Here is a 26109-nt window from a genome sequence, read left to right as displayed (position 1 = left end):
CTGTAATCCCAGCACACTGGGAGGCCGAGGCAGGCAAATCGCCTGAGGTCAGGAATTCAAGACCAGCCTGGCCAACATGGTGAAAATGTCTCTACTAAAAATGCAAAAATTAGCTGGGCCTGGCAGCAGGCGCCTGTAATCCCAGCTACTCAGGAGACTGAGGCAGGAGAATCTCTTTTTTTTTTTTTTGAAATGGAGTCTTGCTCTGTCGCCCAGGCTGGAGTGCAGTGGCACGATCTCGGCTCACCGCAAGCTCCGCCTCCCGGGTTCACACCATTCTCCTGCCTCAGCCTCGTGACTAGCTGGAACTACAGGTGCCTGCCACCACACCTGGCTAATTTTTTGTATTTTTAGTAGAGATGGGGTTTCACCATGTTAGCCAGGATGGTCTTGATCTCCTGACCTCGTGATCCGCCCGCCTCGGCCTCCCAAATTGCTGGGATTACAGGCATGAGCCAACACGCCCAGCCAGGAGAATCTCTTGAACCAGGAGATGGAGGTTGCAGTGAGCCGGGATTGCGCCACTGCACTCCAGCCTGGGTAACAGAGACTCGTCCTCAAAAATAAAAAGACAAGAAAGTGGCCAGGCGTGGTGGCTCATGCCAGTAATCCTAGCACTTTGGGATGCTGAAGTGGGAGCATTGCTTGAGCTCAGGAGTACAAGACTGAACAACATAGTGAGCAACATAGGAGTCAGCCTGAGCAACATAGTGAGACTCCATTTCTACAAAAAATATTTTTTTTTTTGAGACGGAGTCTCGCTTTGTCGCCCAGGCTGGAGTGCAGTGGCGCAATCTCAGCTCACTGCAAGCTCCGCCTCCTGGGTTCACACCCTTCTCCTGCCTCAGCCTCCCAAGTAGCTGGGACTACAGGCGCCCACCACCACACCCGGCTAATTTTTTTGTATTTTTAGTAGAGATGGGGTTTCACTGTGTTAGCCAGGTTGGTCTCGATCCCCTGACCTCGTGATCCACCCACCTCGGCCTCTCAAAGTGCTGGGATTACAGGCATAAGCCACCGCGCCTGGCCTCTACAAAAAATTTTAAAATTAGTCAAGCATGGTGGCCCACTCCTATAGTCCCAGGTACTCAGGAGGCTGAGGCAGGAAGATTGCTTGAACCCAAGGAGTTTGAGGGTACAGTGAGCCATAATTACATCACTGCGCTCCAGCCTAGATGACAGAGCGAGACCCTGTCTCTAAAAAATGCATAAATAAAAATAAAATGAATTCTATCTCAATAAGGCTGTTATAAAAATAATGGGACATTTAAAAAGTATTATTGACTTATAATTAATGTGATACATGTGGTTGATTGTTGTTTGCTACTGTGGTATGTTCTCTTTACAGCAAGCATTCTTCTCTTGCCTAGGCTATAACTACTCCTGCCATGGCGGTCAGTCATATCATGTTGGAATCATATAAAAAGTATATTTTAGTGTCTTTGATATTACTTGGCAAAGTACAACAGCTACCAAAATATACATCTCAAATTGTGGGTAGATTCATTAAGGTAAGTTTTTTACATAAAACTGATTTCTTACGTGAGCATGTTGAGTATATAAAGAAATTGCAATGATACAGTTCTGTAACTTCGTTTTATACTGATTTAGCTCTCCTAGCAGCTTCAGGTGAGCAGACATTTATTGAATGTCTGCTACACATTCTCATTACCTGATTGGAATGGAATATTTCTCAGGAACCCGTTTTCAAACTTGTGCTCTAGATACTTACAGCTATAGATGTTTAAGCTCCTATAACAGTTGATTTTTTTTTTTTTCCCTAGAGACAGAGTCTCGCTATGTTGGCCAGGTTGGTGTTGAACTCCTGGCCTCAAGCAGTCCTTCTGCGTCTGCCTCCCAGAGTGCTGGGATTACAGGTGTGTGCCACTGAGCCTGGCCTTTATTTTGTTTTGTTATATTTTTCATTTTATTTATTTATTTATTTATTTAGAAATGGAGTTTTGCTCTTGTCACCAAAGCTGGAGTGCAGTGGCGTGATCTCAGCTCACTGCAACCTCTGCCTCCCGGGTTCAAGCGATTCTCCTGCCTTAGCCTCCCGAGTAGCTGGGACTACAGGTGTGTGCCACCATGCCCAGCTAATTTTTTGTATTTTTAGTGGAGATGTGGTTTCACCGTGTTAGCCAGGATTGTCTCGATCTCTTGACCTCGTGATCCACCCGCCTCGGCCTCCCAAAGTGCTGGGATTACAGGCGTGAGCCACCATGCCCGGCCCTGTCTTCCTTCTTGCTAGCAGAAGTAGCAGATTGTCCTGTTGCATCTGGTGAGGTGTGAGAAAGAGAGAGGGAGAGTTGGGAATGATGAATGTTTTGACTCCTTTCTTCTCTATATGATTTATCAGTAGAAAAACAGAAGCACTGATGAAGACGTGTGCCTTCACTAAATTCAGTGGGTTTTCACCTGCTGTGTTATTACTTGGTCTGTAGTACAAAATTTTGTGGAAAATGAATTACTCCATAGTGACTTTCTATCCCTGGTCTTAAAAACCAGGCATTTGCTTTGGGTAAATTATAATTTGTAGGGTAACAGTGTGTAGTTACCTGACAATATGGGATATACTTGCTTAAAAAATAGTATGTAAGTGTGTTTTTGCTTCCTATACACATTTGAGTCTTCTGAAGTTTGTTTGTTTGTTTTTGGTTTTTTTTTTTTTTTTGAGACGGAGTTTTGCTTTGTTGCCCAGGCTGGAGTGCAGTGGCACGATCTTGGCTCACTGCAACCTCCACCTCCTGGGTTCAAGCGATTCTCTTGCCTCAGCCTCCCAAGTAGCTGGGATTACAGGCATGTGCTATCACGCTCAGTTAATTTTGTATTTTTAGTAGAGACGGGGTTTCTTCATGTTGGTCAGGCTGGTGTTTAACCCCTGACCCCAGGTGATTTGTCCGCCTCGGCCTCCCAAAGTGTTGAGATTACAGGCGTGAGTCCCCACACCTGGCCTCTTCTGAAGTTTTAATCTGAATTTTTTCCCTCCTTTGCATCTTTAGCCTCTTAGCAATGCATACCACGAGTTAGCACAAGTGTATTCAACCAACAACCCCTCAGAACTCCGAAACCTGGTGAATAAGCACAGTGAAACCTTCACTCGCGATAACAACATGGGGCTGGTGAAGCAATGCTTGTCATCTCTTTATAAGAAGAATATTCAGAGGCTAACAAAGGTGAGGAAAGTGCCACCTTCACAGGGCAGCTCCTGACCCCCTGGGGGCCATGTTTCCCTTTCTCTCCCTTTTCAGAGCTGAGGAAGCAGGTACAGGGATAAAGCATGGCAGGATTTCTGTGCTGAGAGAGAACTCTCTTGTGATTGGCTTCTTAGAAAGAATTTGATGTATACCTTTGGTCTTTTCAGGGCTAGAGCAGGGTATTTGGAGCAGGTGAAGAGGAAGAAAGGTAGGAGACAAGGCTACATTGGGAGACAGTGAAAGGCAGCCTCAGAGAGGTCAGCAGCTCCAGCAGGGCAGATGAGGGATGCTAATGATGCAGACCTCAGTGCACTGTCACCAGCCTTGCAACCTGTCTGTTCTGTCTGTGCTGATCTCTATTAGAACATTTTTTTTTTTTCTCTCTTGACACAGTGCCTTGCTCTGTTGCCCAGGCTGGTGTGCAGTGGCGTGATTTCGGCTCATTGCACCCTCTGCCTCCTGAGCTCAAGTGATCTGCCCACCTCAGCCTCCCAAGCAGCTGGGACCACAGGTGTGAGCCACCACGCCCAGCTAATTTTTGTATTTTTTGTATAGACAAGGTTTTGCTATGTTGGCCAGGCGGTCTCGAACCCCTGTGCTCATGTGATCCACCTGCCTTGGCCTCCCAAACTGCTGGGATTACAGACATGAACCACCGCACCCAGCCAATGAGAACACCTTATGTGAACATAGTACTACTCGGACATTACCATTTAGGCCAGGGTTGTACAAACTTTGTGCAATTGACTTCTAGGATGTAAGCCAATTATATAATTTTTATTTTCTTCTAGGATGTAAGCCAATTCTATAATTTTTATTGTCAAGATGAAAATAACCTGCTAGGTTTTGACTATAGAAAATATGCTTAATGTCAAACGTTCAAACAGTACAGAAAAATAATGAAAAATGAAATTTTTTGTGTTTTAGGAAGGTATAGGCTGCAAGTTACAGGAATCCTGTAGCTCAACAAATAGAGGATTGCTTTTTTCTCTTGGGAAGTCTGGCCAGATATGCATAGTTCACAGCTGCTGAGAACACAGTGCATCTGTTCCTGTGCACATCCTTTGCCTTGTGTCAGCCATGGTGATGCATGGTTGGGGACGAGCCAAGGAACCAGAATAGGGTAGCTGTTTTTTTGCTAGGCTACCCAGCAATGGAAAAGGCTGATGGATTTGGCTACGTGAGGACTTAGGGGAGAGGTGACTTCCCCTAGCCCAATGGAGAAGCTAGAGAAGAGAGGTGGGTCGGGGTGGCCGTTGAGGTGGGCAGACCTCATACAAGGATAAAGGATCCTAAGGAGAAGAGGAAGGAAGGTGAGGAGAGGGTCAATGGGCAAGAAAAAGAATCCTTCCAAATACTCTAGAAAGACTAGCCATAGCTTCTAGAATAGAAGGAAATCAGTAGTGAATTTGTAAAAAGTTAATTTTTATGAGAGAAAAATGAAGAACGTGAAAGAGAAATCAAGTCAAAGATCAAAACCAGTGTAACTTGTGAGCCAGAAAAACCAGCTTGACCTACAGGTTTAAAAGACCAGGATCTAAGAGACTTAAATAACAAGCAGCCTAATTCTCTCCATAAAATTTTCTTTTTGGCCCAAGTGCCAACAGAACCATTCTAAGTAAATTTCTGTCTTTTGCCATCAAGAGGTAGCCATTAAAAAACAGCTGCCATTAAAAACACAAACTCTGTTTGTGACTAGTAATTGAAGTTTAGATAAAAGAACCCAAATGCTAACAAACATAAAAGATAGTACATGTTACAAAAGATGTTAAATTGCAAAATAGCAAATGAAAATTAAATAACGGTTTCAAAAATTAGCTGGGCGTGGTGGCACATACCTGTAATCCCAGCTACTTGGAAGGCTGAGGCAGGAGAATCATTTGAACCCAGGAGATAGAGGTTGCAGTGAGCCGAGATTGCACCACTGCACTCCAGTCTGGGGGACAAAGTGAGACTCCGTCTCAAAAAAAATTTTTTTTTGATCAAACAGGAAGAGTCTCAACTCGAAATGGTCTTTCCAGGGCTGGGGTAGTGACTCACAAAGTCATCAAGGTCCTGGGTCCTTCGTATGTTGACACGAAGTGGTGGATTGTGGTACACTGAGCTCACAAGCACTGCCTGCCAGAGGGACCTGGGGAGGGCTACCATAAGGTATGGTGGGCAGGAACCGTGTCTTTAAAGGACATAGCTAGTCAGAAGGTTACATCTGTGATAGTGGCTGCTCCATTTTTGGCATGATGTCCCAGTGCTAAAATGAAAAGAACGGGGAAACATCAAAGGATTTTTCTAGCCAAGTTTTTCTTACTAGAAAATCCAAAGAAGTCTCAACAGGTAGACTGTATCAGTAGGTGATGGCATGGCTGGGATGGAAGGCAGCTGGGGATGGGTTAAATCTGCCACCTCTCCCATTGAAATATTACTTTGTGTTAACATTTTAGTAGATGTTTTTCTTTTTCTTTTTCTTTTTCTTTTTTTTTTTTTTTGAGACGGAGTCTTGCTCTGTCTCCCAGGCTGGAGTGCAGTGGCTCGATCTCGGCTCACTGCAAGCTCCACCTCCCGGGTTCACGCCATTCTCCTGCCTCAGCCTCCCGAGTAGCTGGGACTACAGGTGCCCGCCACCACACCTGGCTAATTGTTTGTATTTTTAGTAGAGACGGGGTTTCACCGTGTTAGCTAGGATGGTCTCGATCTCCTGACCTCGTGATCCGCCCGCCTCAGCCTCCCAAAGTGCTGGGATTACAAGCATGAGCCACCACGCCCGGCCTAGTAGATGTTTTTCTAGGTTCCTCTTCTCTGTTTCTTTTCTATGTGTATGCATAGACTCTCCCAGTTATATGTAATTGGGGTCATACTCTACGTGCTATTCTTGACCCTGCTCTTTTGTTTGTTTGGTATTTTTTCTTTTTTTTTTTTTCTGTGACTGAGTCTCGCTCTGTTGTCCAGGCTGGAGTGCAGTGGTGCGATCTTTGCTCACTGCAGACTCTGCCTCCTGGGTTCAAGCGATTCTCCTGCCTCAACCTCCTGAGTAGCTGGGACTACAGGTGCACACCACCACACCTGGCTAATTTTTGTATTTTTAGTAGACACGGGGTTTCGCCATGTTGGCCAGGCTGGTCTCAAACTCCTGACTTTAAGTGATCTGCCCACTTTGGCCTCCCAAAGTGCTAAGATGACAGGTGTGAGCCACCGCGCCTGGCCTACTTTTACATTTTTTGTAGAGATGGGATCCCACTGTGTTGGTCAGGCTAGAATGTTGACTTTTGAGTCTTTGTTTGTGTTAAACTACTTGTGTACTTCTTAAAGTTAGCAGTAATTTCAATTTCTTGGGTACTATTCTCTGAACTAAAGTATATGTAGGTTTTAAAATTATTGGCTCATCAAGAATTTATGGCCAGGCACAGTGGCTTACCCCTGTACTTCCAGCACTTTGGGGAGCTGAGGCAGGAAGATACGTTGAAACCAGGAGCTTGAAACCAGTCTGGGCAACTAAGTAAGATCTCATCTCTACAAAAAATAAAACAATAAAATTAGCTGGGCACAGTGGTGCACACCTGTAGTCTCAGCTACTCAGGAGGCTGAAACAGGAGGTTCCCTTGAACTGCTATGAACTGTGATTGCGCCTCTGCACTCTAGCCTGGGCAACAGAGCAAGACTCCATCTCAAAAAAAAAAGGAATTTTCAAGATGAGGGTTTTAATATGCCCAGCTCTGAAAATGCCATTGTTGTAAATATTACCAGCTGCCATTAAGAATAGAGCTCTTTTAATATGTTTCTGAAAGGGGTCATTTTCATCAGATCCCAAGAGAGCAGTGGTAAACACTGGTTTCCCTCATCACAAGTGTGTAGCCTCTTTTATTTAACTCCCCCATTTGTTTAAAAATGTTAACTTTGAATTTTGAATGATGAATGTTATTTTTTCAATTATATTTAATAGATTATACATTTATAATACAAAATTCAAAAGATGAAAATCTTCATAATGATGTGCATACCTTGGATTCCTTTTCAGTTTACATATATATATAAAATTATTTTTCATTACTCCTCTAGGAAATTGACAAACCACTGGGTTCATCAGTTTTTATTTTTTTATTTTTTTTTGTGACAGAGTCTTGCTCAGTTGCCCAGGCTGGAGTGCAGTGGCGTGATCTTGGCTCACAACAAGCTCCACCTCCTGGGTTCACGCCATTCTCCTGCCTCAGCCTCCCAAGTAGCTGGGACTACAAGTGCCCACCACCACGCCCGGCTAATTTTTTTTTTTTTTTTGTATTTTTAGTAGAGACAGGGTTTCACCACGTTAGCCAGGATGGTCTCGATGTCCTGACCTCGTGATCCACTCGCCTGGGCCTCCCAAAGTGCTGAGATTACAGGCATGAGCCACCGTGCCCAGCCTATCAGTTATTTATTTATTTATTTATTTATTTATTTATTTATTTATTTTGAGATGGAGTCTCACTCTGTTGCCCAGGCTGGAGTGAATCACGCGATCTCGGCTTGCTGCAACCTCCACCTCCCAAGTTTAAGCGATTATCCTGCCTCAGCCTCCTGAGCAGCTGGGATTACAGGTGCCTGCCACCATGCCTGGCAAATTTTTGCGTTTTTAGTAGAGGTGGAGTTTCATCATGTTGGCCAGGCTGGTCTGGAACTCTTGACCTCAATTGATCCACCCACCTCGGCCTCCCAAAGTGGTGGGATTACAGGTGTGAGCCACCACCCCTCGCCCATCAGTTTTAAGTCATCTACACAAATCTATTCTGTACATCAATGGGAAGAGCTCTGTACACTTTTTTTTTTGAAATAGAGTCTTGCTCTGTCGTCCAGGCTGGAGAGCAGTGGCGCAGTCTCAGCTCACTGCAACCTCCACCTCCTGGGTTCAAGCAATTCTCTGATTCTCTTGTCTCAGCCTCCCAAGTAGCTGGGACTACAGACGCATGCCACCACGCCTGGCTAATTCTTTTTTTGTTTTTTGTTTTTTGTTTTGAGACAGAGTCTCACTTTGTCACCCAGGCTGGAGTTCAGTGGCTCAGTCTCCACTCACTGCAACCTCCGCCTCCTGGGTTCAAGCGATTCTCCTGTCTCAGCCTCCCAAGTAGCTGGGACTACAGGCGTGCACCACCATACCAGCTAATTTTCTGTATTTTTAGTAGAGACAGGGTTTCACCATGTTAGCCAAGATGGTCTCAATCTCCTGGCCTCATGATCTGCCCACCTCAGCCTCCCAAAGTGCTGGGATTACAGACATGAGCCACCACGCCTGGCCGCTCTGTACACATTTAATAAAATGTCCTTCCTTCGTTGTTCCTACCTGTGACTAATTCTGCTTCTGACTTTCAGACCTTTTTAACTCTATCATTACAAGATATGGCAAGTCGTGTGCAGTTGTCTGGACCTCAGGAGGCAGAGAAATACGTTCTGCACATGGTAAGTGGATTTTCTTTTTCTTTTTCTTTTTTTTTTTTTTTTTTCTTTTTGAGATGGAGTCTCGCTCTGTCACCAGGCTGGAGTGTAGTGGCACAGTCTTGGCTCACTGCAACCTCCACCTCCCGGATTCAAGTGATTCTCTTGCCTCAGCCTCCCGAGAGCTGGGACTACAGGCATGCGCCACCATGCCCGGCTAAATTTTTGTATTTTTAGTAGAGATGGGGTTTCACCATGTTGGTCAGGCTGGTCTCAAACTCCTGACCACGTGATCTGCCCGCCTCGGGCTCCCAAAGTGCTGGGATTATAGGCATGAGCCACCGTGCCTGGCCTTGATTTTCATTTTTTTGAAAATTAATTACTGGATTTTTGTTACTGTAAGAGTAACAGATGTTCATTGTGGAAAATATTAAAAAGGAGAAAAGCGGGGGGAGCCTCCAAAGTCTACCACTATTGACAATTTGGTCTGTTTCCTTATAGTTTCTAGTTTTAGTGTGCTCATATGATATACACATCAGGCTTGCGTCCTATTTGTGCTTCCTTTTTTTTTTTTTTTGAGATGGCTTCATCTTGTTGCCCAGGCTGGTGTGCAGTGGTGCAATCTCGGCTCACTGCAGCCTCAATTCCCTGGGTTTAAGTAATCCACCCACCTCAGCCTCCCAAGTAGCTGGGACTACAGGCATGTATGTGTCACCATGCCTGACTAATTTTTGTATTTTTTTGAAGAGATGGGGTTTCTCCATGTTGCCCAGGCTGGATTTGAACTCCTAGGCTCAATCTGCCCTCCTAGGCCTCCCAAATTGTTGGGATTACATACGTGAGCCACTGTGCCCAGCCCTGTACTCCTTATTATTTTCTTTTATTTTATTTTGAGGCGGACTCTCGCTTTGTTGCCCAGGCTGGAGTGCAGTGGTGTGATCTTAGCTCACTGCAACCCCCACCTCCAGGGTTCAAACAATTCTCCTGTCTCAGCCTCCCGAGTAGCTGGTATTACAGGCGGCTATATTTACATATTTTCATTATCAGAATTTTTGTAAACCTCATAACCCTCATGAAATATTTTTGGTATACAAAGAGGTATAAGGTAGGGCTACTTCCTCTGCTTATCTGTGATGAGATCACAAGCTTTTGCCAGTACGTACATCAAGCAACTGCTGCAGCAAGAAATCTTGCTGAACAATGTTTGCTGAACTACACAGTGTGCTTAGCGACATCATTGACTGACATTCTGACTTAGCCTCTTCCGTCACTGAGGGTTTTGGTCCATAAGCAGCACTGACATAAAGGAGGCCAGAGCACACACCCAGGACTTAGCATCCAGCTTAGGAAATGAAATAGCACCAGTGCCCTGACACTCCCTCTTTATCACCTGCCAGTTGCATTTCCCCACTCTCAGCCCCACCCCAACCAGGCAACCACTCCTGATTTGGATAAGCATCATTTAAATGACTATATGATAACCCACCACATTGATGTATTGTAATCTACCTACCTATTCAGTTACATAAGTACATAGTTCTGATCTGGTTTTAGTTCACTGAAAACCTGTGTCCTTAGCTCAGGACAGGCAAAGCTTCATATGACCCCTTGTATGATTTCAGAATTTGGAGTATTTTGATTGATTGATTGATTGATTGAGACAAGGTCTTCCTGTGTTGCCCAGGCTGGAGTGCAGTGGCGTAATCATGGCTCACTGCAGCCTTGACTGCCTAGGCTTAAATGATCCTCTCACCTCAGCCTCCCAAGTAGCTGTGACTACAGATGTGTGCCACCACACCCAGCTAATTTTTAAATTTTTTGTACAGGCAGGGTCTCTTTATGTTGGCCAGGCATAACTTGAGATTTCTGGCCTCAAGTGACCTTCCCACCTTGGCCTCCCAAAGTGCTGGGATTACAGCTGGATACAGCCACTGCACCCAGCTGAGTATTTCATTTTGATAGTTGAATTTACAAGTGTTCTAAAGGGTTTTTTGCTTCAACCTACCATTCAAAACATGCACACACCAAACAAAACCATACCTCTATGACTTGTGTCTGCTAAGAGCATCTTGGTAACCCCACAGGGGTTACACAGAATAAGCTATAGACGCTTTCCCCAAGAAATTCCCTCTTCAGTGGCGAGTGAGAAGAAATACATGAGTGGTTATGACACCAGACAGGACATACTAGCTAGCAACGCGTTGCGGGGTCAAAGTGGGTGTGAGTTTTGAGCCCTGCTTAACCAGCCCAGACACCCTGACAGGCTCTGGAGCAGTGGTTCTCCTCTGAGGGTGATTTTGTCTGCCAGGAGACATTAGGCAACGTCTGGAAGCAGTTTTGGTTTTCACAGATGGGGGTGCTACTGGCGTCTAATGGGTACGGGCCAGGGATGCTGCTAAACGTCCTGCAGTGCCCAGGACAGCCCACACACCAAAGCGTTATCTGTACCCAGGACAGCCCACACACCAAAGCGTTATCTGTACCCAGGACAGCCCACACACCAAAGCGTTATCTGTACCCTGGACAGCCCACACACCAAAGCGTTATCTGCCCCCAAATGTCAGGACTGCCAGGCTTGAGAAACCCTTCTGGAATGAAAGGTCTGTGAGACCAGGGTTTTTTTTTGTTTGTTTGTTTTTTAAAGTAAACATTGGAAAAGTACACTTAAGTGTACGGCTAAACACATTTTCACAAAGATTCCAACACCTAGAAGAAGGAACAGAATATGACCAGCACCCGGAAAATATCCCTTGTGTCTGCTTCCAGCCCTGTGCCTCTCTAGAAAGGTTGTTCCCATCCTGACTTTTTTTTTTTGAGACGGAGTCTTGCTCTGTCACCCAGGCTGGAGTGCAGTGGTGCGATCTCAGCTCACTGCAAGCTCCACCTCCCAGGTTCACGCCATTCTCCTGCCTCAGCCTCCCGAGTAGCTGGGACTACAGGCGCCCACCACTACGCCTGGCTAATTTTTTGTATTTTTAGTAGAGACGGGGTTTCACCATGTTAGCCAGGATGGTCTTGATCTCCTGACCTCGGCCTCCCAAAGTGCTGGGATTACAGGCATGAGCCACCGTGCCCGGCCTCCCATCCTGACTTCTAACATCCTATTTTAGTTCTGTTTGTTTCTGAGTTTGATGTAGAAGGAAACACACAGCACATTCTTTCTGGGAATCTGGTTTTTTGGCTCAGCATTGTGAGAGTCATGCATGATGCTGTATGTAGCCGTAGTTCATTCGTTTTCAGGGCTACAATGTTCCAGTGTTTGATACACCTTTCCATTTTAATTAGTTGGACAGGCTGGGCGTGGTGCCTGTAATCTCAGCACTTTGGGAGGCTGAGGCAGGCAGCTCACCTGAGGTCAGGAGTTCAAGACCAGCCTGGCCAACATGGTGAAACCCCGTCTCTACTAAAAATACAAAAAAAATTAGCTAGGCATGATGGCGGGCGCCTGTAATCCCAGCTACTTGGGAGGCTGAGGCTGGAGAATCGCTCAAACCCAGGAGGCGGAGGTTGCAGTGACTGGAGATCACACCATTGCACTCCAGCCTGGGTGACAAGAGCGAAACTCCGTCTCCAAAAAAATAAATAAATAGGCCGGGTATGGTGGCTCACACCTGTAATTCCAGCACTTTGGGAGGCTGAGGCGGGCAGATCATGAGGTCAGGAGATCGAGAGCATCCTGGCTAACATAGTGAAACCCCGTCTCTACTAAAAGTACAAAAAATTAGCCAGGCGTGGTGGCAGATGCCTGTAGTCCCAGCTACTCGGGAGGCTGAGGCAGGAGAATGGCATGAACCTGGGAGGTGGAGCTTGCAGTGAGCTGAGATTGCGCCACTGCACTCCAGCCTGGGCAACAGTGCAAGACTCTTGTCTCAAATAATGTAAATAAATAAATAGTTAGACATTGGGGTTGTTTCCAGTTCTGGTTAATTTATTATGAATAGTGCTGCTGTGGTGAAGGTAGGTCCAAATTTTGCTTAGATACATTCCATCTGCTTAAAGAGGCAGCTCTCTGTGATCACATAGAGAACTATGCATTTTGTATAATATGTATTGGGCTGGTTACTGTTTCACTAAATAGCATCTATCCCTTCCAAAGCTAGAGACAAGTAGGCCAGCAGTTTCACTGCTAACAAATGGACAAGTTATTATCACCGTGTGGAACATCTTGTTAGGAATAAAATACCTGTTTTGTACTTTTATTGGTATCTCACTTTTTAACTTCATGGGCAGGATTTGGCTTTGAGGATCAGTCAAATAATTCCCCAGTAACTGATGCAAATAAATAATATATAGACCTTGAATCTACCTTGGAATCCCCAGTGGTAGTAAAGTTTTCTTGAAGAATCGGAAGATAGTTTCCACTGGGATGAAAAGAAAACGTGTTAGGCTTTACTTTTTAAAATACAGTGGCCCAGCCTGGCCAACATGGCAAAACGTCATCTCTACTAAAAATAAAAAAAATTAGCTGGGCATCGTGGCACATACCTGTAGTCCCAGCTACTTAGGAGGCCGAGGCAGGAGAATCCCCTGAACCCAGGAGGTGGAGGTTGCAGTGAGCAGAGATCAAGCCACTGCACTCCAGCCTGGGCAACAGAGCGAGACCCCATCTCAAAAAAAAAAAAAAAAAAGGCGATGTAAGTTATATTTCAGTGCAGCTGATGTTGAAAAATGCAAGGGCACCTCAAATACATCATGCTAAGGGAAGCCAGACCACAAAAGATTACATAGTATATGATTCCATTCATATATCCAGAAAAGGCAAATCCATACGAGACAAGAACAGATTGGTGGTTTCCAGGGGCTGGGAGGAGAAGGAGGGAATGGGGAGGGACTGCTAATGGGCCTAGGGCCTCTTTCTGGGGTGACGAAAATGCTCCAGAACTAGATAGAGATGGTGGTGGCACAACATTGTAGAATGCATTAAATGCCAATTAATTGCTCACTTTAAAAAGGTAGGCCAGATGTGGTGGCCCATGCCTGTAATCCCAGCATTTTGGGAGGCCGAGGCAGGTAGATCACTTGAGGTTAAGAGTTCGAAACCAGCCTGGCCAACATGGTGAAACCCCGTGTTTATTAAAAATACAAAAAAATGGCTGGGCGCGGTGGCTTACGCCTGTAATCCCAGCACTTTGGGAAGCCGAGGCGGATGGCTCACCTAAAGTCGGGAGTTGGAGACCAGCCTGACCAACATGGAGAAACCCTGTCTCTACTAAAAATACAAAATTAGCCAGGCGTGGTGGTGCATGCCTGTAATGCTAGCTACTTAGGAGGCTGAAGCAGGAGAATTGCTTGAACTCAGGAGGCGGAGGTTGCAGTGAGCCGAGATTGTGCCATTACACTCCAGCCTGGGCAACAAGAGCGAAACGCCATCTCAAAAAAAACAACAAAAAAATTAGCCTGGTGTGGTGGCGGGCACCTGTAATCCCAGTTACTTGGGAGGCTGAGGCAGGAGAATTGCTTGAACCCCGGAGGTAGAGGTTGCAGTGAGCCAAGAACGCACCACTGCACTCCAGCCTGGGGGACAGCGAGACTCCATCTCAAATAAATAAATAAATAAATAAATAAAATGGTTAATTATGTTGTGTGGACTTCACCTCAATAACAAAAATGCAAGGGCAGGGATTTTGTGTGTATCAGTTTTACACCTCTTAGCATCTATAATGGTGCCTAGCAAATAGTAGGTATTTAATAAATACTTGGATAAACAGATGGCGCTTAAAAATATACAAGTTTATTTATATCCATGTTGCCTTCCATGCTTTTCTGTGATTATACTGGATGACTATTCATATAGCATTCAGGTCTAAACTGCTTTCCTGATTTTTTTTTTTTTCTTTCTGCAGATAGAAGATGGTGAGATTTTTGCAAGTATTAACCAGAAGGACGGTATGGTCAGTTTCCATGATAACCCTGAAAAATATAATAACCCAGCCATGCTTCATAACATTGATCAGGAGGTAAACATGAATGCCAGGTTTTTATTTTTTTAATTGATGGTTGAGATGTATTTGAAAATTGCTCCTATGTTCCAGGATAATTTTAGTTTTAAGTACAGGTAGTTCCCAGTCTGTGAACATCTTAGTTACTAGAAAGTTAGTTTCAAAATGGGCTGCTTAAGGAGAATTGCTTGAACCCTGGAGACGGGTTACAGTGAGCCGAGATTGTGCCACTGTCCTCCACCTTGGGTGACAGAGCAAGACTCTGTCTCAAGAAAAGCAGCAACAACAACAAAAGAAACCCAGAATGGGCTGCTTAAAACTCTTCCAGGCTGGGTGTGGTGGCTCATGCCTGTAATCCCAACACTTTGGGAGGCTGAAGTGGGTGGATCAGCTGAGGTCAGGAGTTCAAGACCAGCCTGCCCAACATGGCAAAACCCCGTCTCTACTAAAAAAAATAAAAAATCAGCCGGGTGTGGTGGTGCACGCCTGTAATCCCAGCTACTCTGGAGGCTGAGGCAGGAAAGTCTCTTAGAACCTGGGAGGCAGATGTTACAGTAAGCTGAGATTGCGCCACTGCACTCCAGCCTGGGCAACAGAGGGAGACTCTGTCTCAAAAAAACAAAACTCTCTCAGATTGTATGGCTGTAAATAAATGGTGGGTTAGATATCCCAGCTAACTCATCAAAACCTCCCTTAACTGTGAAAACACTTAAAGGGCCCAGTATAACTTTATCTATTCCCAGCTGCCACCTACAACATAGAGCCTTATGTTTTTGCTGAAATGTCTGTGGAGTTCCAGGTTGGGAGGTTAGGAAACATCTCTCCCTATGTGAGAAGCAGAGTCGGGGTGGCTGGAGGAGAAGAGCAAAGCCCTCCCTGACGGTCCCCTTTAGGCAACAGCCTGGCTACAGCTGCAGCAGTCACCTCTGTGTCTCCTGAGGGCATGCTGCCTCTGATTCTGGGGGCTGAAGGGGGAGTTTTGTGGGTGGTCTGTGTTTCTTACCTCTGAGCAGGGAAGTGAACTGAATATTAAATCTCAGAAAACTATGTTTTTTTGTAATTAATTTAATGGCAAAATGTCACCTGAAATGGTGTCTAGTCTTCATTTATCTCAGCATGAATATACTCGTTTCACTGCAAAAGATACTATGTGTTTGATTATGAGGTTTGCCTAGATCCTGCTGGGTGGGATATTTGGTATTATATGATAGATGTATTAGCTTTCTGAGTCCAAAATACTCTGGCTCCAAAACCCATGTGGCCCCAGGGGTTTCACATCAAGAGATTGTGAACCTATAGCACCCTTGTGAACAGTGTAAGTTAGAAAGGATGCAGCTGACCTAAACCCGCCGCTGACCACCTTCTAATGTGCCTGTCATGCAGATGCTGAAGTGCATTGAGCTGGATGAGCGGCTGAAAGCCATGGACCAGGAGATCACAGTGAACCCTCAGTTTGTACAAAAGGTGATGAGGGTTCCCTTATTACAAGAAGTAGGCTGGGTGGAGAAGGAGGGGTGTTGTCACATCAGGCACAGGAACTAAGTTTCAGGTTATTAAATATTTCTTGAAAACCTTACCAGTACGGTCATGGAGAAATACTAGTTGAGAGCATTTTCAAATGATGGCCTGGAAGTACACTTAGGGATGCTTAGGGTGGTTCCTGGAATTGCCTGCCCTTGTTCACAGGGGGCTTTGTTCTGGGAGGGACAGGGCAACTGGTGTGCTTATTGGGCTGCCGGGGAACCCTTGATAAAAGCAAACATAAATACATAACTTCACTTTACCTTTACAGAGTATGGGCTCACAAGAAGATGATTCAGGAAACAAACCATCCAGTTATTCTTGAAACTAACATCCATCCTGAGCTAAACAAGAGAAACTACCATCTTGGCCAGTGACAAGTGTTCGGAGGGCAGCAGAGAGGACCAAGCCTGTGTCACCTGGAGACTAAGAAATTAAGTTTTGTTTTGACATCTTCAGTCCTGTGTGCTTTCAGAAAACCATTTTCTCTGCAAAGAAAGGAAACAGATTTGCAAACTTTAAAGTCTGTCGTGGATTTATTTATCCTCAGATTATTGTTACTGCATTAAATCTACCTTTTTGTTTTAAGTTGCTTGAACATTAATGTGTCTTCTGTATCACTTTTTTCTCCTCTGAAGTTTTTAATAAGCACATTCATTGTGAACAGAAATAGCTGGATTTTAGGAATTTTTGGAAGATTTGGATCTGAAAGGTTTTTATTTATTGACAAATTTGTATCTACAAAAAAATCTAAAAGTTGTAATCATTGTCTTCAGAAAATAAAAGAAAAGAAAGGCCAGACAGACACAGTGGCTCACACCTGTAATATCCTAGCACTTTGGGAGGCCGAGGCAGGATTGCTTGAGGCCAGGAATTCAGACCACCTTGGCCAACATAGTGAGACCCTGTCTCTGTTTACAAAAAAAAAAAAGGGTAGGAGCGTCCCTGAGGCATAAGCTAATTTTTAAAATTAAAATTAACATGCATATTAGTGAGAGTATGAGTTGTGGATTATGAGATGCCATTGGTGCTTCACTTTTTTTTCTTTTTTTTTTTAAGAGACAGGGTCTCTGTCACCCAGGCTGCAGTGCAATGGTGCCATCATGGCTTACCTAAACTTCCCAGGCTCAGCTGATTCTCCTACCTCAGCTTCCTAAGTAGCTGGGACTACAGGCGAGCACCACCACAGCCAGCCTTTTTTTTTTTTTTTTTTTTTTGTAGAGATGGGGTTTTGCCATGTTGTCCAGGTGGTGTCAAAAGCACTTTCCAACCTTTAGTGGGTGCTACACTTTTGTAGTCTTGAAAATGGCTTTTCTCCCCCTCTCAACTTACAGTTTTTAAGAGACAAATGGCAGGCTTTCCCACTTTTTCTTGTCAAAGCATATCAGGTAAACTGATAGTTGCATTTTGATTATGTTCAGGGCCTCTCCTGTCACAGGAATTTGGACTAGGATTTACTGATTTAGCCCTGGAATGGTGTGGAGCAGAATAAAGTGTGGTCAGGTTAAAACACATCAAATTTGTTCCTTAAAAAAATCTCTCTCACTACAAACATTCAGTTTTTAAAATGTTTCAAGTTGTCTGGTAAGGCACATTTTCATTATTTAAAAAAGAAACCTCAGCTGTGTGCAGTGGCTTACGCCTGTAATCCCAGCACTTTGGGAGGCCAAGGCAGGTGATCACCTGGGTCAGTAGTTTGAGACCAGCCTGGGCAATATGGTGAAACACCATCTCTACTAAAAATACAAAAAATGAGCCGGGCATGGTGGTGGGTGCCCGTAATTTCAGCTACTCAGGAGGCTGAGGCAGGAGAATCGCTTGAACCCGGGAGGTGGAGGTTGCAGTGAGCCAAGATCATGCCACTGCAATCCAGCCTGGGTGACAAGAGCAAGACTCTATTAAAAAAAAAAGAAAAGAAAAGAAACCTCATGAGTCACATAAAAAGTTACCCTAATAGAGTCCACACTTAGGCTTTGGAGGTCATATGGCCTATTGTAACTGTGGCCATTTTAGTAGTAAAACTTTATTTATAAAAAGTAGGCAGTGGCCAGGCATGGTGGCTCATGCCTGTAATCCCAGCACTTTGGGAGGCCAAGGCGGGTGGATCACCTGAGGTCAGGAGTTTGAGACCAGCATGACCAACATGGTGAAACAGTCTCTACTAAAAATACAAACATTAGCTGGGTGTGGTGGCAGGCGCCTGTAATCTCAGCTACTCAGGAGGCTGAGACAGGAGAATCGCTTGAACCCGGGAGGTGGAGGTTGTGGTGAGCCAAGATCATGCCATTGCACTCCAGCCTGGGCGACAACAGCAAAACTCCATCTCAAAAAAAAAAAAAAAAAAAAAAGGTAGGCAGCAGGCTAGGTCTGACCTGAAGCCTATAGTTTGCTGACCTATCAACTAAACTGTCAAATTCTCTAGCCCTTGAATTAGGACTATTTGTGGGTTGCATCCCTTTCACTTGTTTACGTATACCTGCACTTAGGAAACAAAATATTTAATGGGAAATGATCATTTATCTGTGTAATGAATTATAGACCCTGTTTTATTTTTAAAAAACAATTAGCTTCTCATTATCTGGATCTGAAATCAAAATCACTTAGAATGTGTCTGTGAACTGCTAGTACTTGTCAGTCGTGACTATATAAGTGAAAAGTACTGTGAGCTGCTAATGATGTGGATGCTATTATAATTTTTTACCCAAGGTGGATTCATTAAAATAACTGCATTTTTTGGAAACTTGAACTGAAAGGGGATATGTTATTTAGAACCTTGTCCTAGTACCTGCAAACCCTGAGTCTGTTTGAGGGGAGAGCTGGTCACAATCGTTTCAGCTTTGAATCCCCTGTTCTGTGTTCTGCTTTGTGATTCTTGGGCTAGACCTCTGCAAACCAGCAAGAAGGGGATTAGAGCTCGGGGGAGAAAGTGACAGGCTCCCTGCATCTGCCTCTGTTGAGCAGCATGGTCCAGGCAAGTCTGCTTCCAGTGTGCAGTTTCCCCCATGCTCCTAGAATCAGCCTCAGCACAGCCCCTTAGAGATAAAGGGGCCCAGGAGGCAGGCCTCCCCCATCTTCCCACTGTGCCCTCCTTCAGAATTTTAAATTCTATTCGTCCCAATCTTTTCCCTTTGTTCCCCAACCCTTAAGGGGTGGTATCTGCTCACTGTAGCTACTACCTCAGTGAGACTCCTGAATTTTTTTTTTTGAGATGGAGTCTCCTCTGTAGCCCAGGGTGGAGTGAAGTGGTGTGATCTCAGCTCACTGCAACCTCCACCTCCTGGTTTAAGCAATTCTCCTGCCTCAGCCTCCCTAGTAGCTGGGATTACAGGCACCCACCACCACGTCTAGCTAACTTTTGCATTTTACTAGAGACAGGGTTTTGCCATGTTGGCCTGGCCAGGCTCAAACTCCTGACCTCAAGCAATCCACCCACCTTGGCCTCCCAAAGTGCTGGGCTCACAGGCGTTAAGCCACCGCACCCAGCCGATTTTTTTTGTTTCTTTTACAGCAGTACTTTTATTTTTCCTTACACAATGACGTGTTGCTGGGGCCTGATGTTCTCACATAACAGTAAAAAAACAAAATGTGTTGTCATCTCAAAGAATTGAGAATTGAGTACAAGAAAACCCTACATAAATTAAAGGGATGAATACATTTACAGGTGGAAATACGAACTGCTTCCAACTCAAGACAAGTAGCAGCTCATGGTGTTCTGGCATGAAAACATCAGCTAAGAGAGGAAACTTGGTCCTATGGCTTGGACTTTTCCAACCCTGATAGACCGGCAAGACAGAAACAATTGGTTCAGGAGCCCTTACCAGGCTCTACAGCAGAACACTCTGCCCTGACACATTAATACACTGCACAGATCGGAGACTGCTGGCCACACAGACTCACCAAACCACTGACCTGTCTTCCACAAGCCAGTTCTTACCTCAGCCACGAAGTGACCAAGCCACACGTACTAAGGGTTGAAATCAAAGATGTATAGGGCATTACACAAATACCAAGGAGAACAGTTAACTTGAATACAAGGTCAAAATCAGCAACAAGTTTTACAATCCAGTGCTGATATCAGATACAAACCTTAAGGACAAACTTCTTTCAAAGGCTTATTCCAGTTTCGTGAGGCTAGTATGAGGTGTATGCATTTGCCAGGGGCAAATTTTTTTTTTTCTTTTGAGACGGAGTTTCGCTCTGTTGCCCAGGCTGGAGTGCAGTGGCACAATCTTGTCTCACTGCAAGCTCCACCTCTCAGGTTCACACCATTCTTCTGCCTCAGCCTCCCGAGTAGCTGGGACTACAGGCACCCTCTACCACGCCCGGCTAATTTTTTTGTATTTTTAGTAGAGATGGGGTTTCACCGTGCTAGCCAGGATGGTCTTGATCTCCTGACCTTGTGATCTGCCCACCTCGGCCTCCCAAAGTGCTGGGATTACAGGCGTGAGCCACCACGCCCGGCCTCCAAGGGCAAATTTATACTCTGGAATTAACCCATGCAGTAAATGCTACTCATCGGCTCACAGTCCGTTTAAAAGCGTTTGTGGTGGATGATGGAGGGGCCTGACTCATCTTACTCCTGCTTGCTGATCCACATCTGCTGGAAGGTAGACAGTGAGGCCAGGATGGAACTGCCGATCCACACTGAGTACCTGTGCTTGGGGCGGGGCACAATGATCTTGATCTTCGTGGTGCTGGGCACCAGGGCAGTGATCTCCTTCTGCATCCTGTCAGGATGCCCCAGTACATGGTGGTGCCGCCAGACAGCACGTGTTGGCATATAAGTCTTTGCAGATGTCCACATCACACTTCATGATGGAGTTGAAGGTGGTCTTGTGGATGCTGCAACATTCCATGCCCAGGAAGGAAGGCTGGAACAGTGCCTCCAGACACTGGAACTGCTTGTTGCCAATGGCGATGACCTGGCCATGGGCACCTCACAGCTATTCTCCAGGGAGGAGGAGGATGCGGCGGTGGCCATCTCCTGCTCGAAGGGCAACACAGCTTCTCCTTGTCATGCATGATCTCCCACTCGGCCGTGGTGATCAAGCTGTAGCCAAGCTTGGTGAGGATTTTCATGGGGTAGTCAGGTCCTGGCCAGCCAGGTCGACACAGGATGCCATGGGGGAGGGTATAGCCCTTGTAGATGGGCACCATGTGGGTGACCCCATCTCCAGAGTCCAGGACAATGCCAGTGGTGTGCCCAGAGGTGTAGAGGGACAGCATGGCCTGGATGGCCACGTACATGGCCCAGGTGTTAAAGGTCTCAAACATGATCTGAGTTATCTTCTCTCTGTTGACCTTGGGGTTCAGGGGGGCCTTGGTCAGCAGCACTAGGTGCTCCTCTGGGGCCACGTGCAGCTCACTGCAGAAGGTGTGGTGCCAGATCTTCTCCATGTCATCTGTATTAGTCCATTTTTGCACTGCTGATAAAGACACACCTGAGACTGGACAATTTACAAAAGAAAGAGGCCTAATGGACTTACAGTTCCAGGTGGCTGGGGAGGCCTCACAGTCATGGTGGGAGGCAAGTCACGTCTTACACGAATGGCAGCAGGCAAAGAGAGAGAGAGCTTGTGCAGGGAAACTCCCATTTTAAAAACCGTCAGATCGGCCAGGCACGGTGGCTCACGCCTGTAATCCCAGGACTTTGTTTGGGAGGCCGATGCAGGCAGATCATGACGTCAGGAAATCGAAACCATCCTAGCTAACATGGTAAAACCCTGTCTCTACTAAAAATATGAAAAATTAGCCAGGCGTAGTGGCACCTGCCTGTAGTCCCAGCTACTCGGGAGGCTGAGGCAGAAGAATCACTTGAATCCCGGAGGCGGAGCTTGCAGTGAGCCAAGATCGCACCACTGCGCTCCAGCCTGGGTGACAGAGCGAGACTCCATCTCAAAAAAAACAAAACAAAAAACACAAAACAAAATATGAAGTTTTGGGTTTGTAAGTCCTAAGTTTCTGGGTTCCAACCTGAATTGGTACCCACTTTGTGGAAGGTTATGTTATTTGGACCTAAGTCTGAGCAGTTGCAAAGGGGCCAGAGAAAATAAATGACTAGGTAAATCAGGTATCTGTGAATAAGAAAATGTGATGGCTATCTTTTTAAGTAACTGAATTACTTAATGATAGTGAACAAAGAAAATCCTATCTGTATCCTTTCCTAACATCAAAGGCTGAAATCAGAGAACTTTAATTGCAAAAAGCATTTAATAAGTCTGAATCCATAGGCTGGCTCTATAGTTGATTGTTAGACGAAAATGTCAACACATGGTATTTAATAGGCACCTAGTAGTAGATTAAAACACAAAAGGCATAGCAGATGAATTCTAATTAGTGGAGAGAGGTTAATTTTTAAAAGCTTACAGAAATTGCTATGGTAAGAAATATTAAATTAATCCTAATGGCCTTTATTGAACCACTAATAACTCATACCTCGCAACTGACTGGATGCCTTATGTGCAGAGTTGATTGTCTAATTACCTAAAACCTGAACTTAGAAACTGTGCATGGGCTAGGCTGGGCGCAGTGGCTCACGCCTGTAATCCCAGCACTTTGGGAGGCCGAGGCAGGCAGATCGAGAGCATCCTGGCTAACACAGTGAAACCCCGTCTCTACTAAAGATACAAAAAATTAGCTGGGCCTGGTGGCAGACGCCTGTAGTCCCAGCTACTCAGGAGACTGAGGCAGGAGAATGGCATGAACCCTGGGGGCAGAGCTTTCAGTGAGCGGACATGGCGCCACTGCACTCCAGCCTGGGCAACAGAGCAAGACTCCGTCTCAAAAAAGAAAAAAAAAAAAAAAAAGAGAAAGAAAGAAATTGTGCATGGGCTGGGTGCAGTGGCTCACGCCTGTTATCCCAGCACTTTGGGAGGGCAGATCACAAGGTCAGCAGTTCGAGACCAGCCTGACCAACATGGTGAAACCCGTCTCTACTAAAAATACAAAAATTAGCTGAGCCTGGTGGCATGCGCCTGTAGTCCCAGTTACTCGGGAGGCTGAGGCAGGAGAAGTGCTTGAACCCGGGAGGGGGAGGTTGCAGTGAGCGAAGATCACGCCACTGTACTCCAACCTAGCGACAGAGTGAGACTCCGTCTCAAAAAAAAAAAAAAAAGAAATTGTGCATTTATCTCACCTTCTGAAATGTTACTCATTGCTTGCTGCCTTTCAGCAGCTGGCCAGACTCCTAAACTGTTCAAAACATCTAAAAACGGAATGTTTTCTCAGTTGCTGGAAGAAACAAAAACTTAGATCATTATTTTTATAACAGGGAATCAATTATAGTAACTTGAAAATATGAGATGTGATTAAAAATATTAAATTGAAATGCTTACAAATGAAATACACCCCTTCTTCCTGAAACTGGAAACTAAGAGTCATTGACATGTGGTTTGACTGAAAGATAAAGCCCAGCTGTATCCTACAGCTACATCAGAGCCCCTGTGGCTAAGGGTACATATAAAAAACTCTAAAACAAATTTCTGAATAAGATGTGACTTTTCCCTGCCACTTGGCTCTATGGTCCTGGCAACTGATGCCTTGGAAGTGATTGATCAGTTTGGATACTCAGCTATAATGAAGCCTCTTGGTTTAGCAGTAGTAAGAAGGCAGAAAAGCATCAAAAAACCTTAATTCTGATTGAGCCTATTTCAGTGGTGGAAAAAAATCTTAATTCTGATTGAGCCTGTTTCAGTGGTGGAAAAAACACATTCTGGATTGTATGCATGCCAGGCAGTAACATATCCAGAGCTTCTGGAATCATTTCATACAATTTCCATTATGGGATAGAAGCTTTGAGATTAGCATTGCATTTCATTTGGTTGTGAATTGTTGAACATTATTGGTATCTGTGCTTTCTGAACATTACTGCTGAGTTTCAATTATCTTTCCCATGAGAATGGGCACATTTTCCGACTTCTAAGATGTCCCTTTTGTTGCATGACCTTGAAAGTTTTTATACCCCATGAGAGCCCAATTTAAATAACCTTTGGTACAATTCACTGAGGCAAAGATTTGGCAGTTGTTAATTTTTTTTTTAAAGATTTATAGGTTTATTTAAGAAAGTACCTCCAAAAGAGGTAGGTGGCTGAAGCCAGTGGTGTTGGGAAAGATGTTAATGGCCTAAATTGAGCCCAGGTGTGGTAAATGCACATTGACTTTTACTGAAAATACACTAGTTGAATAACCTTCCGCCATTAGCCTATCACCATGGAAATAAGGATAATCTGAGCAAGGTGGTGAACTCCACTAACAAACTGAAAAAGGTAATTCCTGGAATTAAAGTTACAAGGTGAAAAAAACCTTGTTCTTGACTTAAAAATCTCATTAACAAACATTAGTTTCAAGAACTTGAACCCGGGAGGTGGAGGTAGCAGTGAGCCGAGATCGCGCCACTGCACTCCAGCCTGGGAGACATAGCAAGACTCCGTCTCTAAAATAAAATAAAATAAAATCACCCTGTAACTTACTACCTCCTCAGAAATTAAGTTTGCGCTGTCCAACAGCAAGAGGAATTCGCTTGATAAGAATAATTAAACACATAAAGGCAATGCCTAACCTCGTAACGCCACCCCATATTCCTTAATCTTTACCAAGCCACTATAAGACGGCAGAAAACACAAGCTGCACTTTCGTTCTTTTCTCGTGTCCCGTTTTCAACAGACCATGGATTTTTTTTTTTTTTTTTAGATGGAGTCTCGCTCTGTGCCAGGCTGGAGTGCAGTGGCACGATCTCAGCTCACTGCAACCTCTGCCTCCCGGGTTTAAGCAATTCTCCTGCCTCAGCCACCAGAGTAGCTGGGACTACAGGCGTGTGCCACCACGCCCAGCTAATTTTTTTTGTATTCTTAGTAGAGAGGGGGTTTCACCTGTTGGCCAGGATGGTCTCCATCTCTTTACCTCGTAATCCGCCCACCTCGGCCTCCCAAAGTGTTGGGATATTATAGGCGTGAGCCACCGCGCCCGACCAGAACATGGAAATTTAAAGAGAAAAAAATAAGTGACTTCTGATTTCAAAAACACAACCACCCACTTTTCTATTCTATTCCTGGTGAGCACATTCTGGAGACTCTGCGGCAACCATAGCCTCGGCCGCGGCGGAAGGCTCCGGGGCGGCCACACCTCAGGGGGCAGCCACACCTCAGGGGGCAGCGCGCACAGGCGGGTCAGGCTCTGATTCCCATCTCTCTCCGGTCTTCACTGGAAGGACCCACACTACATCACAAACTAATGGCTTTACAATTAACTTCTAAGTAGCTAAATTTAGTAATGGGCGCTCTAGTTTTAAAAAATATTATTCAGGCCGGGCGCGGTGGCTCACGCCTGTAATCCCAGCACTTTGGGAGGCCGAGGCTGGTGGATCACCTGAGGTTAGGAGTTCAAGACCAGCCTGGCCAAAAGGGTGAAAACCCGTCTCTGCAAAAATACAAAAAATTAGCCAGGCGTGGTGGCGGACGCCTGTAGTCCCCAGCTACTCGGGAGGCTGAGGCAGGAGAATCGCTTGAACCCGGGAAGCGGAGGTTGCAGTAAGGCGAGGTCGCGCCACTGGACTCCAGCCTGGGCAACAAGAGCGAAAGCGAAACTCTGTCTCAAAAAAAGAATATTATTCAAAAACTGATTTTCACATTTTTAAAAAAGACCCACTGAGGGAGGAAGACCGAATCCCACACATGCGCGCGCACAGCGGTTCCGAGTTCTGCAACCAACCTCCCACGGGCGCCGCGCCTTCTCCGCGTCACGTGACGGCCGTCTCCCGCACCTTCCATACTCTCAATGTAGGGAGAGGACGGGTTCCATCAGCAATTTAATAAAAACCATTGGTGAAGCAAAAAAAAAAAGCCTGCCAACCTCTTATAACGTTTTTTCTTTATTTTTCTCTTTTATGTGGACAGGAAGCCTTAGGTTGGCTATATTTACCCTCAAATCTCTTTTTAAAATGATTTTTAAGTTTCAGCATACTCCCGCGCTTAATGAAATGGTTTCCCCCAGCATCCCCAGCTGGTGCGGTCTGAACCATTCGGAACTTCCCAGAGGGGGGCACCGGAATAGGGGCGGTG

General features: G+C 45.3%; 1 protein-coding gene and 1 pseudogene across 8 annotated transcripts in view, besides 3 other annotated features; one reads left to right on the top strand and one right to left on the bottom strand.

Moving 5' to 3' along the window:
• COPS3 (COP9 signalosome subunit 3) overlaps positions 1-16861 on the top strand; it is a 34631-nt gene extending 17770 nt beyond the window's left edge. For 5 of the 8 annotated variants that reach the window (NM_001316358.2, NM_001316356.2, NM_001316357.2 and 2 more), the window contains 6 exons: positions 1371-1511; positions 3003-3176; positions 8532-8618; positions 14438-14551; positions 15917-15997; positions 16326-16861. In NM_001316358.2, the coding sequence (NP_001303287.1) occupies positions 1371-1511; positions 3003-3176; positions 8532-8618; positions 14438-14551; positions 15917-15997; positions 16326-16379 (651 nt within the window). In that variant the 3' untranslated portion in view covers positions 16380-16861. The remainder of the gene's footprint in view (positions 1-1370; positions 1512-3002; positions 3177-8531; positions 8619-14437; positions 14552-15916; positions 15998-16325) is intronic. The other 3 variants (XM_047436961.1, NM_001316355.2, NM_001199125.1) reach the window with 2 other exon arrangements.
• Positions 12185-12287: a silencer, noted in NCBI's record as "fragment chr17:17154504-17154606 (GRCh37/hg19 assembly coordinates)". NCBI's record gives its function as "represses an EF-1alpha promoter that drives an FKBP-Casp9 reporter gene in an ReSE screen in phorbol 12-myristate 13-acetate-treated (for megakaryocytic differentiation) K562 erythroleukemia cells {active_cell/tissue: K562(+PMA)}" and the evidence as "EXISTENCE:reporter gene assay evidence [ECO:0000049][PMID:32094911]".
• On the bottom strand, positions 20559-21457 carry ACTG1P24 (actin gamma 1 pseudogene 24; annotated as a pseudogene).
• Positions 25363-25548: a silencer, noted in NCBI's record as "fragment chr17:17141243-17141428 (GRCh37/hg19 assembly coordinates)". NCBI's record gives its function as "represses an EF-1alpha promoter that drives an FKBP-Casp9 reporter gene in an ReSE screen in HepG2 liver carcinoma cells {active_cell/tissue: HepG2}" and the evidence as "EXISTENCE:reporter gene assay evidence [ECO:0000049][PMID:32094911]".
• Positions 25983-26092: an enhancer, noted in NCBI's record as "active region_11794". NCBI's record gives its function as "activates an Ori minimal core promoter by ATAC-STARR-seq in GM12878 lymphoblastoid cells {active_cell/tissue: GM12878}" and the evidence as "EXISTENCE:reporter gene assay evidence [ECO:0000049][PMID:35858748]".

Source organism: Homo sapiens, chromosome 17 (genome assembly GCF_000001405.40).
Source record: "Homo sapiens chromosome 17, GRCh38.p14 Primary Assembly".
NCBI lineage: Eukaryota > Metazoa > Chordata > Mammalia > Primates > Hominidae > Homo > Homo sapiens.
Note: the sequence above shows the minus strand (reverse complement) of the source record. Positions and strands in the feature narration are given on the sequence as shown.